The 14758-nt window shown below is 50.5% G+C and overlaps 1 annotated feature.

Annotated features, from left to right (window-relative positions):
• Positions 5590-6091: an enhancer, noted in NCBI's record as "H3K4me1 hESC enhancer chr22:49791359-49791860 (GRCh37/hg19 assembly coordinates)". NCBI's record gives its function as "activates a minimal SCP1, AML or CMV promoter by ChIP-STARR-seq in primed H9 embryonic stem cells {active_cell/tissue: H9 hESC(primed)}" and the evidence as "EXISTENCE:reporter gene assay evidence [ECO:0000049][PMID:30033119]".

Below are 14758 nucleotides of genomic sequence, written 5' to 3' on the forward strand. Positions count from 1 at the left end.
GCAGAGACAAACCAGGGCTGGCGATGGTTAATTCACACGGAGTGTGTTGATTCCCACCCAGGGGATGCGGGCCCACCCCCCTCCCCATCATGTCTCTCCACCACACAGAACAGTGGCCCCATGACTCTTGTTCAAGCAGACGTACCTGAATTTCACTTAACCAGGGCACCACAGCTGTTCAGGTGCAATTCTGTGCTCCTTAGCCAAGTGCCTGGCACTCAGAATGTTTCCCATGTGTTGGTTCTCAGAGGGGGAGTTGCGGAAACTACCATCATACTTCAGAGGGAATTGGGAGGAATCAGCAGCAGCCAAACCAGGACCGTAGGCCCCATCTCTCAGGAGCAGCCCAGGCCAGCGCCGTGGCTCACCTGGCCAGCACCAATTTGCTGGAAGAAGCCCAATTTGCTCATTAAATGCGGGTCCTAGAGTTATCCTGGGAGGTAAACAAGAGGTGATTCCATCCTGTATGACTCAGGAGGCACAGAAAGTCCTGAAAAATGCATCTTTCCTCCCCATGTGCTCCAGATTCCAGAGCATGATCTTCCCACAAGAAAGCTGTTTTCTATTTTTTCTTGCTTTGAGTTGGTCCTCTTGCCAACACCCACTCACCCTCTGAAGGGACCCCTGAAACTCTAACTTCTCCAGCTCCCAGTTGGACTTAGCCAAATATGTGTATAATTAAATGGTGGCAGAAGAAAGTGAAGATATGTCCAGCTCTTAACCCCCAGTGCCTGTGAAGGGGACCTTATTTGGAAATGGGGTCTTTGCAGATGGAATTAGTTAAGGATCTCGAAATGAGGTCATCCTGGATTCGGGGCGGGCTGTGAATCTACTGACTGGTGTCCCACAAGAAGATACGGAGAGCTGCAGGGAGAAGTCATGCAAAGACAGACACAGAGGCTGGAGGGAAGCAGCCACGGCCAGGGGAGTCCTAGAGCCACAGAAGCTGGGAGAGGCAGGAGTGTCTTCCCCTGGAGCCTTCCAAGGGGAGTGCTGCCCACCAACACCTTGACTTTGGACCTGTGGCCTCCAGGCTATGCGAGATCATGTTTGCAGCTTTGGGCCCCCCAGCTTGTGGCAATTTGTTGTGGTGACCCTAGGAGATGAGGACACATCACCATCATTCAGGACATTGTTAAAGGAAATCTGCCATGCACGCCACAGCGGGGACCAGAATTAAAGGAAGTTGCTGAGGGCCAGTGAGAAGCCATCCCCAAGAAAGCTAGAGCCCAGAGAAGCCAGCAGGAGCTGTGTGACTCTGCCGGTCTGAGAGGTGAGGCCCTGGGGCAACACGGGGCTGTCTCCACACGAAATCTCTTTCACCAACAAGAGTCAGTGGGCTTCAGAGGGGCTTAGCAGAGGGGCTAGCGTGGGATCCCAGAGACTATGAGTTTTCCTGCCAAGCATAGCTCACCTAAAAGAATAGACATGGGACAGAGGAGAAATGTGGAATGGCATTCGGAGAGGAGGCCCAGCAAACCAAAGGAGACAAGCATCCCAGCGTTTAGCAAAGAGGCCTCGCCGGAAGCAAAGGGAGGCCACGGAGAGACGGAGTTCCCCTGGGCAGGAGGGCATGGCTTTGGCTTCCTCCCAGGCCACTGGGCAGATCACTGACTGACAGAGGTTGGGGTCACCTTGGACAGCACCCTCCAAGCACCCGCCTGTTTTATGTGATAGAAATAACCCACTCAGCACCAACCTGGGAGCTGGACCTGACATCACCTCCACTTTTGGATGAGGAAAGAGAGGGGAAAGGAAAGTGCCCCAAATCCCACCTGTAGTTAGTGAAGGAGCCAGGGTCAGAAAGGACCTGCCCCACCCCCATGCCGCATCCCGAGGGGCATGGCATGTGGAGACTATACCTGCATTCCCATAGGGTAGGGCTGGGCAGAGCAGCTATGCCCACCTACCTGCACAGCAGGGGCGGAAAATGTAAAAAAAAAAAAAAAAAAAAAACTCAAAGGGAAAATGTAGTAAAAAGCAGAAGTGGTACTGCAGAGAATCAACTTGGTCCATGGAGGATAAATGAGTGACATGTTCAACATCCCCAGGAAAAGGAAGCAGGAAAGAATGGAGAGATGGAGAAAGTGAGTCAGAGAGAGAGAGAGATTTGTCCAGGATCAGAGATGTGCCTCAGCCACTCACCACAGGCTCCCGAGCAGACTGTGGCAGGTGACTCACCCTCTCTGGGCCTCGGGTTTTCCGCCTGAAGGTGCTGTGCACTGGTAGTGAGTGCTCCTCTCTCTGCATGACTTCCCTGTAGAGCCTGAGCTACAGACCCACTGAGGGGAGGCGCTCATGAGCAGGGAAGTGACAGAATGGTGGGGAAAGAGGAGGGAGGACAGGATCCAGGACCACAAACTGCAACCTCCAGATGAGACAGTCCCGGGTCAGTGGGGAGCCATTCTGCAGAGGAGGGGGAGCTGTGAACATCAAGCTGCATCAGCCTCTGAGCTGAGGTGGATGTGTTGGCCCAGAGGTGCATCTTAAGAGGCACCAACCACACCCGCTACAGGGACCTGTGGTCCTCTCACTGAGAATATCTAAGCATAGAATTCATGCTATGCCAGTTGGAAAATGAATTCAAAGCCAACGCAATTGTCACAACTCATTCTGAAACAAAAGCCAAATAATAATAATAATAATAATAACCAATAATCCAGACTTAAAGGGATCACACGTGAACACTAGATATTTATCCACCTTGCCCGGCAAGCAGGAGGAAGCATGAAGAGTGCCCCAAGCCATTGTACGTGATATGGTTCGGCTGTGTCCCCACCCAAATCTCATCTTGAATTGCAGTTCCCAAAATCCCCATGTGTCATGGGAGGGACCCTGTGGGAGGTAATTGAATCATGGGGGTGATTTCATAATGGTGAGTAAGTTCTCACAAGATCTGATGGTTTTATAAGGGACTTTCCCCTTCACACGGCTTTCTTCTCTCTCCTGCCACCTTGTGAAGAAGGACGTGTTTGCTTCCCCTTCTGCCATGATTGTAAGTTTCCTGAGGCCTCCTCAGCCATGCTGAACTGTGAGTCAATTAAACCTCTTTCCTTTATAAATTACCCAGTCTCGGGTATGCCTTTAGTAGCAGCATGAGAACAGATTGATACAGCACAGGAAGGCAGTGGAGCGGGCCAGCATTGCGTTTGTGTTGGTCATTCAGGCACACAGGTGCAGGTCAGCTTTTTTAATGAAGGGTAACCAGTAGAAGAATTAAAAAATAGGACACATTCTTTCTAGATAAACACTGAATTCTAACTCAAATAAGGTATAGCACTTACGGCCAAAGATTGAAAACCCATTGTACAGCAAGGATGCAAGAAAGAAAAAGACAGAAAGGAACATTTTTAATTCAAAAAAATCAAAGCAGAAACCATGAGGAGATCAAAAGAACCCCCAGCACAGCCAGCACAGTGGTGAATGCAGGTGCAGGGGCACCGCAGTCACAGAGATGGGTGAATTCCAGCACTGCCAACCCCAACCTTCCTAAGCACTTAGGACGATTTGGACTCAAAATGAAGGAGGCTGGAACCAGCCCCTCGTGTGTGATGTGGGGGTCTAGCACTCAGCTGCTCCCTGACTGTGGCCATGATGCAGCCCCCCTCCGTCCCCCTCCTCTCCTACAAAGGGGAGTGTCTGGGTCTGCTTGCTGCTGCGATTGCATCATAAATGCAGCTCCCACAGCTCTGCAGGCTGGAAGTCCAAGACTGAGGCACGGGCAGGCTCTGCGTCTGGTGAGGGCTGCCCTCTCTGCTTCCACGATGCACCATGCAGTGTGTCCTCTACAGGGCAGTAGGCAGGGAGCTGCCAGCCACACCTGCTAAAGCCGCTGTCCTGAGGGCCTCAATTCCATCAAGAGAGGAGGCTTCAGAACCTAATCACCCTCACAGGCCCCACATCTTCACCCCATCACACTGGGTGCTGTTTCAACACCTGAATTTTGGAGGGGCCGCATTCATGCCACAGCAGGGAGTGTGACCTTGTTTCCCTGGAAGCTGGGGTGAGGAGGAGAGGTAAGGCCATGAGGAGACCCTGTGGTCACTGGCTGGTTTTGCTTTTTTGAACAAATAGGAAAAGCAAAGAAAAGAATGAATTGATCAAAGCAGAATTATATTCACATCACATCGAGAGACTTTATTTTATGAAATGTAAAAACCAGATGAAACTGTTAACTAAATATCGAAACATAGAAGGAAGGACCACAGGGAGATGCCAATCCCACAGACTCTGCCTGAAATAATCCAGGATTCATGTCACTTTTTCCTTTAAGTGCTTCAGTGCTGCAGGGACGAAAGGAAGGTAACAGGTGCCCCGAGCAGCTCCTTCCAGGCTGACAGGGGCACCCAGGCGGTTTCCTTATGGGACCCAGATGGAGCTCCCATGGCTACTGTAGCCCCTGCCACGCCCAGGGAGGAAGCCACAAAGGTGACCTGTTTGCGGGACCTGTCTCAGTGCCCTCTGCAGGGGGCAGGAACAGAAGCTTCAAGAACTCACCTGGCCCTGGTGCAGGTCTCAACCCCTGTGTGTTTCCCGAGCAACTCCTCGGGGATGCCTGCTCAGGCTTTATCCTGCCGTGTGCACGATCCCAATGTCACCATCCAGGAATCAACAGGTAAATATTACATAGCTTAAAAATCATGTTGCAACATGATATTCAATGTTCGCATCACCAAATAGCATCACGAACATTTTAATTCACTTTACTGATGTATAAATAATGTGCCATCAAAAGTGTCCAATTGGAAGAGTCATGGCAAACATATACGCCGGTGTCCCCATCACTGTGGCTGCGATGACAAACATCCTACAGTCAGCAGCAGGCACCAGGGGGCCAGGCGACCCCCATCTTGACATTGCATTGTTGTGAGGTCAGCCCCTGAGTAACTTCACCCTGCCTGGGTGCTGTGGTCAAATTCTTCAGCTGACACATCTTGGCAGCCGTTGTCTGGCAATGCATATGCTCACTTCATCGAATCTGTTAAATCTTTGAAATATTTAACAACCTGAGACATGAATGGAACGTGGGACTCTCACTTGCCGGTTGTCAGGGTCTAAGACGACTGTGTCCTCAAATTTATGCGGGCGAATAGCAATGCCCTTCTAGTTCCTGTTTGGGACGATGTGGCCTGAATCAGGCACTGTTGGAAATTCTCATTTTGTGCAATTTCAGGCATATATTGTGACATTTATCAGCTCAACTATCCCTTAAATTCAAGAGTACATTCTTTGTAATTCTTTGAGCAAAGCAGAAAATTGAACGGTTTGACTGATTTATGTAAGCATTTATAGCTGAGGAAACACAGGAGAAATTCACCCAGAATATTCAATGTCAGAGTAAAAGCGTCTGCAGCTAAAATGGAGACAGTTTCCTTGAAGTCCATCCCCGAAGTCTCACACTTTCGTTATATTTTTAATAAGCTGTGGTCTGATTAAAAATAAATTTCAAAGCCAGGGGCAGCGGCTCACGCCTGTAATCCCAGCGCTTTGGGAGGCCGAGGCGGGCAGATCACCTGAGGTCAGGAGTTGAGACCAGCCTGGCCAACGTGGTGAAATCCTGTCTCTACTAAAAATATAAAAACTGGCCGGTTGTAATGGCGGGCACCTGTAATCTCAGCTACTTGGGAGGCTGAGGCAGGAGAATTGCTTGAATCTGGGAGGCGGAGGTTGCAGTGAGCCGAGATCGTGCCACTGCACTCCAGCCTGGGCAACAAGAGCGAAACTCTGTCTCAAAATAAATAAATACATACATACATACATACATACATACATACATACATACATTTCAATAGACGAAGAAAGGAAAGTGGCTGGTCATCCTTGGCAAACTTCATTCCATACTCCGAGTGAAAGGAAGGCAGCCATAGTGAGGTTGAGGCAGGGGACATCTGCAGGGGGCAAGACCAGACCTGAGTGGGGCCCCCATCCTCCTCCATTTGCAATAACAGGACCCATAATGTAAACCGAAGCCACAGCCAAGCTCCAAACCACCACTGGGAGGCCCCCCGGGTGCCAGGAGTACGGAGGGACAGAGAGAGGGATGAACAGAGAGAGAAGCCCGTGGGGTGGAGCTCATGGCAGCCCCGGGACAGGGCTTGCAGAGGACACTAGCCAAAAGCTCTGCCGCCCGCTGCATACCCCCTGGCCGGCTTCTCTCCTCCTGACGGGGCCCTGGGCTTTGGCTCACCCAAAGCTGAAGCAAGCACTCCACACCACCCGTGCCCCTGTGCAACTCACTCGAGCATCGGCCGGCTAGTGCCCGGGGCCAGCACTGTGATGCCGGCTGTGGACGCGAGGCCTCAGCTCCTCCCCTGTGACATCGCTGTCATCCTGCCCTGTCCTCAGAATGTGGCACCACCTTCCTCCAGGGGGAGTTATTGGAGGGGACACAAAGCAGGAGTCAGAGCCCCCCTGGCCTCAGAAGTTGAGCATTAACAGAGACCTGGAGCGGCAGAGATTCTGACGCCCTGTGGATGGGAAGAGAAGTGGATATGGCCACTGTGGAAAAGAATTTGGCATAATTGAGCTGTGTCACATATGTGCACAGCCCTCAGATTTATTCTTAGGCACGTGATCTAGAGAAACACACACACAGGTACCCAGAAACAGCTCAAGGTGTGTGGCCTGCCCACAACCAATGCTCGTCAGCCCCAGAGCAACTGGACCAGGGGATATTCGCTCACCAGAGGGCGGCACGTCGGTGAAAACTCGTGCATTTCCCCCGCACAGGCCAGATGGGTGTCCCTCAGGGAGAGGCGTCAAGTCCCAGAATCAAATACACGTCTGACTCCATCCGCTTGGCGCTCAAAGGCACCTACAACTCCAAAACATTGTTTGGCGCAGCCGTTCTAAAAGGTTTTGGTCTAGGGGCACCTTTATACACCCAAAGGTTGTTCATGGCACCGGAGAGTTTTGTGATGTGGGTTGTGTCTGTCAATACCCATTGTATTCAAAGCTAACATAGGAAGTTTAAAAACATTTTCATTAATTCCTTTCAAAGTAGCAGTCATACACCCATTACCAGTTGATGTAAATACATATTTTAATGGACAATGACTCTATTTTCCAAAACAAAAAACATTTAGTGATAAGTGAGGCACCCCTTCCTACAGCTGCAAATCTCTCAGATGCCCAGATTCATAGACGGCTTCTGGAGGCTCAGGCTCATCCTTGCTTCCACGTTCAAGCCGCTGTGAGATCGCACGTCATGTGACTTCTGGAAACTCACAGACACACACATCACAGCACACTGAACACACACACAGACACATGCACTCCACACACCACACTCTACACACACACCACACGCCACATATGCTACAACATACTCACACACACACAGACACCCACTCCACACACCACACACCATATATACTACACCACACACACACACACAGACACATTCACTCCACACACATGTACTACACCACACAAACACACAGAGACACGCTCTCCAAACACCACACTCTACACACGCACCACACACCACATATACTACAAAATACACACACACACAGACACCCACTCCATGCACCGCACTCTACAACACACCACACACCACATATACCACAACAGACACACACTCCCAACACTACACACCATATATACTACACCCCACACACACACACACAGAGGCACACACTCCACACACCACACTCCACACCACACTCCACACACTATACCACACATACATCCACATTCCACACACCGCATATGCTACACCATACACACACATACACACACACTACACTCTACACACACACCACACACCATATATACTACACACACACACAGAGATACACACTTCACACACACACCACACACCACAGATGCTACACCACACACACATACACACACACTCCACACACCACACTCTACACACACACCACACACCATATGTACTACACCATGTGCACACACACACACGCACACACTTAAATGCATGCAGACTGGGATAATTGCTTTAGGAAAAGTGTAGACAACACGATATCCAAGCAGAGAAGAAGGAAAGAGAAGTTTTCTCTGGAAAGAGGTTTGCTTCTGGGAGGAAGGTTTTGCTGTGTCTACCATGAGAGTGTGTTCGGGTTGGGGAAGTGGAGATGTGTTAGAATCAGGTCCGGGAGGGCTGGAGGCAGGAGGGGTCATGTACACCCGTGCAGGCTAGGGAGGCCGACGGCGACCTCTGCACACAGGCTGTGCATGGGGCCCCCAAGCTTGGGACCGGCACTGCAGGAGTTTGGCTTCCCCGGCCTGGGCCTGGGGGAGCCCAGAACAGGCCTGCATAGCCTGAAGGAGGCAGTGGGGCAGATCCACCTAGGGATGGCCGCCTCGCAGAGCCTCCGCCCCGGGGACGGGCAGCACCCGTGCACCGGAGTCCCAGCAGAGTCCCAGAGACTCAACGTTTCTTTCCTCAGTTAACAAGGTTTGTCCAGAGCAGTGTGTTTTCTACAGAAACTCAGATGTTGCTCTAAATGGAGTTTCCTGGAGTTCCATGCTGGCCATAAGCCTCCTGTGAATAATGCAGAGAAAAAGGAGATCGCAGTTCGAGCCGATTCCCTCTGCCCGCCGACTCTAGAAACAACCTCTTCCCTCCTTCTCACGAATCAAGATTCCACGCCACAGGTTAGCATTGCATATGGCCAAGTCAGCAGCCTCTGAACTAAATTTTTGATGAATTCAACTGTAAAATATTCACAACCTGGAAATTCATAACGTGATTCATGTTTTTATCATTTTTTTTCTATGTGATCTCATAAATGCAACAGAAAATATTAGTCATGAGGCAACATGAGGTTGGGACCCACATGAAGAAACAGCTCCCCCGAGGAAAATAAAATGAACCTCCTCCCAGGACCCAGACCTCCCTAGAGGAGCCACGGTGTTTTCGTTTTAAAAGATAGTCAAAATAAATAAAGATATGTGGATGCAGAGCCAGCAGTGGCGGCCGCTCCCTCCTCCGGTTTCATTTCGCAGTGGGGATGCTCCTAAATGAACCTGCTCCAGAAACTGAAGTTTGAAATGGAGCTCCTAACTCATTTTGTCACGCAGCTGAGAAATGCCCCTTTTAATGGAAAGAAACAGAAAAGGACAATTCCATCTTTGATTGATGGACTGCATTACGGGGTATAAATAAAAGGAAGTGTGATAACCTCACTGTGGCACAGGCCAACCGCAGAGTCCCTAACTGGGGTGGCTGTGTCTACATGGGACTACCAGAGGTGGCCATGCATGGCCTGGTGGTCAGGGCAGGGAGCATCGATGGAGAGCTTGCACCCCGTGAGTGGGACTGCCAGAGGGCCCCCAAGACATCCCCAACGTGAGCGTTTCACTTTTCAGGTGGGGAAACTGAGGCCCACCATGGTCTGTCCCACCAGAGGTTGTCTCGTGACAAACCCAGGCACAGGAATTCCCACCCAGGTCTTCTTAGGAGCTAGAACATTCTGCCCACTTCTTCACCATTTGTCGTCTCCTGGAAATTATTGGAAATTAAAGTGGATTTGTCAACACTCGACTGAGCAATGTCTTTGATGTTGCAGAGGAAATTTGGTCTTTGAATTCGAGTGGGAGCCCCACTGTCCACCAAGCCCCAGTGGTGTGTCTGGGGCCCTCTCCTGCAGAGCACAGGGCATGGGACGCACTGTGCCGTCATTCCTGCAGGCTGCTTCCCGGGCCTGGGGTCGCCAGTCTTTTTTGACCACGGGGGATGCACATGGGGAGGCTCTAGGTAGCAGCCGGTGTCCTCGGAATGTCAGAAGCTTCCTGAAGCGTAAAGCGCGAGGAATTTCTGTTCATCCCAAGCCTTGACGAAAGGTGGCTCAAACCAAGCCGCCTCTTCCTGAGGTGCAGTGTGAATCCTCGGGTGCTGACGGCCTGAGTGTCAATATGCCCTGTCTTCAACACACACGAGTTTCTGCGAGCAAAACAAGCCTGGATTGTATTTTGAAGTCACATATTAAAAGTGACTTTTCAATCATTTAGAACATAACAATCATTCTTGCATTGCACATGGACAGTGTTCCAAGCTTCTGTTTCTGTGGGTGTCCCTGGGCTCCATCTGGGTGACAGCGATGACCTTGGACCTCCCCGGGGGTGGGAAGGACTGGCCAGCGGCCATCCCCCTCCAGCAGGGCCAGTGTCTGGGGCACTTCCCTCACTCCCCTCCCCACAGGGAGTCCACGAGATGTTCACAAAGTCTAGCTAGCTGCTTCCCAAGCACATTCCTTCCTCCTCCTCCAGGTAATGTCCGAGTGTTCCTGGCAGTTGAGTGTGGCCACTTCGCTGAGGAGCAGTCTGTGGACTGTCGTAGAAATGAGGCCAAGATCTCCAGGCCTGGCGAGAAAAGCTCCACACGTTACCGGTGAGAGGAACTCGTGTTGAGTCTGCAGCAACCTCATTTCTTGCCTCCTCAGAGGAAAGAATTCGAACAAGGGGCATCAGGCAGAAGAAGAAAATACTGAGACAAGGTTTAGAGCAGGAGTGAATGTTTATTAAAAAGCTTTAGATCTGGGTGTGGTGGCTCACGCCTGTAATCCCAGCACTTTGGGAGGCTGAGGCGGGTGGATCACGAGGTCAGGAGATTGAGACCATCCTGGCTAACATGGTGAAACCCCGTCTCTACTAAAAATATAAAAAAATTAGCCAAGCGTGGTGGCAGGTGCCTGTAGACCCAGCTACTTGGGAGGCTGAGGCAGGAGAATAGCATGAACCTGGGAGGCGGAGTTTGCGGTGAGGCAAGATGGTGTCACTGCACTCCAGCTTGGGTGACAGAGCAAGACTTTGTCTCAAAAAAAAAAACAAAAAAAAAACCTTTAGAGCAGGAAAGAAAGCACACTTGGAAGAGGGCCGGGCAGGTGACTTGAGCGACCCAGTGCCCAGCTCGACCTCTTGACTCGGGGTTTATATGCTGACATATTTCCAGGCACCTGTGTTCCTTCTCCCCATGCCTGAGATCTCATCAGGAAGCTGCTGATCATGAGTTTCAGGTGTTTTCTATCTAGTAGGAGACTGCCTTATCCTGGTGCCAGCTGAGACCATTTTAGAGAAACCTTTAAAAACCGCCTGACCGACACCTGATGGTTGCCTGACACTCCTGGTGTGTGGTGAGGGGTAGCCCCCTCCTGCCCTGCTCATACCTAGCTAGCTACCCACCATAGCACAGGCACCCCCTTCAGACTCTCTCTCTGGAAGCCTTCAGGCAGGTGGGCTCAGAGTCCTCAGGCATCGCAGGTCAGAGATGGGGAGATTGTGGGATGCGAGGGCCTGAGGCCCTGAGTCGCCGGCTGGAGCAGAGCAGACAATTGGTCAAGAGCATGGTGGGTGAACTTGACTTCAGTGTTGCTAAGACACTGGGATGTCAGAGTTCATCTACCATAGCCTCTGGCATTGCCTTACACAATAGAGTAACTTTGAATAAGAAAGAAAAAAACTCTTTAAGAGTTGAGAATGATGGCCCTGAGAAGTGGAATTAGGAGAGGGTAAGATGAGACTGAGTAGAGACTGGAATTTTTCATTATAAGCCTCATAGAGTTATTCGACTTTTAAAACCCTATATGTGTATAACCTGGACCAAAAATATTAAAATTTCAGAAAAATGTAAAGGCTGATGACAAATGGAGTCATGGTGTATGGGTGAGATTTTGGCTTCAAACAGCAGCAAATAAAGGGAATTCTAACAGTAGGGATGTGTTGTTGGTTTAAGAGATGTAAATGTCCTATTCATTTGTTTGAGTACAGACAGTTCTAGCTCACGTTTCTAAGCTAACGGAAGTTATTTCGCAGAGAGGCATGTGCTAAAAATAAGAAAAAGAAGGAAGATAAGCAAGCACGTGAAACCCTTAAGACTTAACATGGCTGGAATCCAGGATTCAGAGCCTGGATAGAGGTGGGACCTCCCTGTGTTGTAACAGGAGGAAGAGAGAGATGCTGTAGATGTGGGGAGGTTTGCAGATTTGGTAGCAGAAAGCGTTTAAAAAGCTCCTAGATGACAGCAGCCAACCTCTCTGTGGAACACCAGGTGGAGTGATAAGTCAGAAAACAGGGGCGGTGTGGGGCGGGGAAGGGCCAGCGCTGAGGGAGGGGTAAACCTGTATGCGCAGCGTGGACAGCCCGCCAGCCAGGAGGACACCGGGGCCTCCAGAGCATGGGGGCCCTTGTCTGAGGTCGGCCATGGCAACTTCACCATGACCCCAGCCTCCAGACTCTGCAGTTTTCTCTGGAGGCCTCAGCGGCATGAGGTCAGGTGCACAAAGGCAGGTGGTGAGATTCTTCCAAAGCTGGGTTCTTTGGGCAAAAATCCTAAGTCCAAGGAGGAACTGCTGAATTCAAGCTGGAAAAGGTGGAGAATTAAGAATGAAGGGGCTTGGGTGGAGGGAGGGTGGTGAGCTCTGTAATAGTAATAGCGACGAGTGTTCACGTCACACTAATTATGTCTGGCAGGCAGTGTTCCTTCTCCTGTAGATGGTTCACAGATTTACACCTGTGACATTCCTCTGGACCCCATTGTTATCCCCACCTTACAGGTGAGAACACTGACACACAGGATGGTCCCGCTGCTTGCCTGTGGTCACAGTATCCGGAGCATGGCTGCAGCTGGGAACCACCTCCAGGCGACAAAGCAACCCAGCACGGGTGGGTACGGAGGGGCCGTTCGTCTCGCTCACAGTCTGGGGGTGGCCTCATGGTGCTGCTCATCACAGCGGGCATGTTGGCTGGGGCTGACTGTGAGAACCCAGCTCTGCCCCAGAGGCCTGGCCTTGGCTGGTTCTCACAGGGAGGAAGAGAGCCCAGAGCAGTAAGCACAGCCCGTCAGAGAGCGGGCAGAGACGCACTGCGCTTCCTGAGACCGCGGCTCACCGCTCCCCTGCATTCTGCTCTTCAAAGACACATGCAGAACCTTCAGGGTGTTGAAAGGGGCCGCAAAGATCACAGCTCTCAGCGGGGGCGCGGTCAGTCGGCCACAGCGGTGGAGATGGCGTTGAAAGCCGGGGATGATGACTGCTGCGCTGGGATGACTGACGGCTGAGCCAGGCCCTGCTGCTGTGCTTGTTGTGTAAGCCGAGCTCCCAGGGCTGTGCTTGATCAGGGCAGGATGTGTCCATCCAGTATGTTGGAGGTCAGATGAAGAAATGCATGGAGTTAAAAAAAAAAAAAAAAGAAGAAGAAGCTTAAAATGTTTCCTTTATTAATTTTAAGTGTAAGAATGGAAATTTTCATGTATCTTATGCCCTCAAAGATGTAAAGTATGTGAGTGACAAATAAAGGGATGGAAGTCGCTGATGCAACATTTAGTGATGGTTTATCCCAGGGTGCAACCACAGAGGCTGGCAGCTTGTTCCTTCTATTTGTATAAATGTTCGAATTGTTCTAAAATAAGAATGCACTAATTATGTCTCAAAAAAGATGATTTAAGGAAAGCTAACAGTGTTTGCCTTCTGAATGTGGCTATACATTGATTGTAAATAACCTAAAAGAGGCATCTTCGGGATAGGTGCCTCAGGTTGTGTGTGGCTCCCAGGCCACCACAGGGAAGCCTGGTTTTGGACTCTGGGCCTTGGGGTGGGGATGGGGGTGGGAGGGTCTTCATTCAAGGGGCCTGGGTCTTTAGTATCAATTTCATCATAGTTTCCTCTCAGGCTATGGGTGGACCCAAGTATATAAGCGTCACAGCCCCACCTGTGTGCTGGGTTCGGGTAGGAGAGTCACAGCCCCACCTGTGTGCTGGGTCAGGGTAGGAGAGTCACAGCCCCACCTGTGTGCTGGGTCCAGGTAGGAGAGCCACAGCCTGACTTGTTTTTATTAAGAAGAAAGAAGATATATTATATAGAATAAAAATGACATGCTACTTTACAAATAAAAATAGCTGTGATAATCTAATTTACATGGATGATACAGGAGCCTCTCCCATGCCTCAGCTACTGTCTAATTTATATGAATAATACAGGAGCCTCCCCCATGCCTCAGCTACTGTGCTGGGCATTTTCATACAGCGTCCTGTTCTGGGTGCTACCACCTCACCCCAGTGTGCAGTCAATCGTCATAGCAGCCGCTACTTCTCCCATTGCGGTCCTCACACGCCACGTGCTCTCTGGGAAACCTTACAGGTTTTAACTCACTGAATCCTCACAGCCCCCACGGAGGGAGACTCCCCAGTTCCTTCTACTTTACTGATGAGAAAATCGAAGCTCTGAGCCTGGCTGTCTTGCTCAAGGGCACACAGTTGGTGAGGTTTTGAGCTGAATTCCAAACTATAATGTATTCTTTAACCCTGTCCAATCTATGAGCCTGTTCAGAGGTGACGAGTTCCAAATCTATGCACGGCCACAGTGTGAACAGGGAAGAGGGAATCAAACAGAGCGTGGACTTAAAACAACGGGGCTTTCAGGGAGACTGAACGCAGTGAGGGCCGTGCTGGGAACACTGGCTGCTGGGGAAACATTATAATTTTTTTTCTGCCAGGCAAGTGTTCTTTGCACTTTATGTTATTCACATACTTAAGCCTCATTGCCATCCTTTTGAATGGTAAGGCAAAGCATGAGAAGGTACATCTGAGACAAAGAAGAAGACATTTGGAAAACACCAGAAAGAGTGTAGGAGTGTGGGGAGCACCTTGCGTGTCAGCAGAGCCGTAGAAGGAGGGGAGGCAAAGAATGAAGCAGAAGCAATATCTGAAGAACTCACACCCAGGAATTCTCCAAACCAAGTGGAAGGTTCTCAAGCCAAACATTTAAAACACTCTGGGAACTTGAAGCAGGAGCCCCCC

Source organism: Homo sapiens, chromosome 22 (assembly GCF_000001405.40).
Source record: "Homo sapiens chromosome 22, GRCh38.p14 Primary Assembly".
Lineage (NCBI taxonomy): Eukaryota > Metazoa > Chordata > Mammalia > Primates > Hominidae > Homo > Homo sapiens.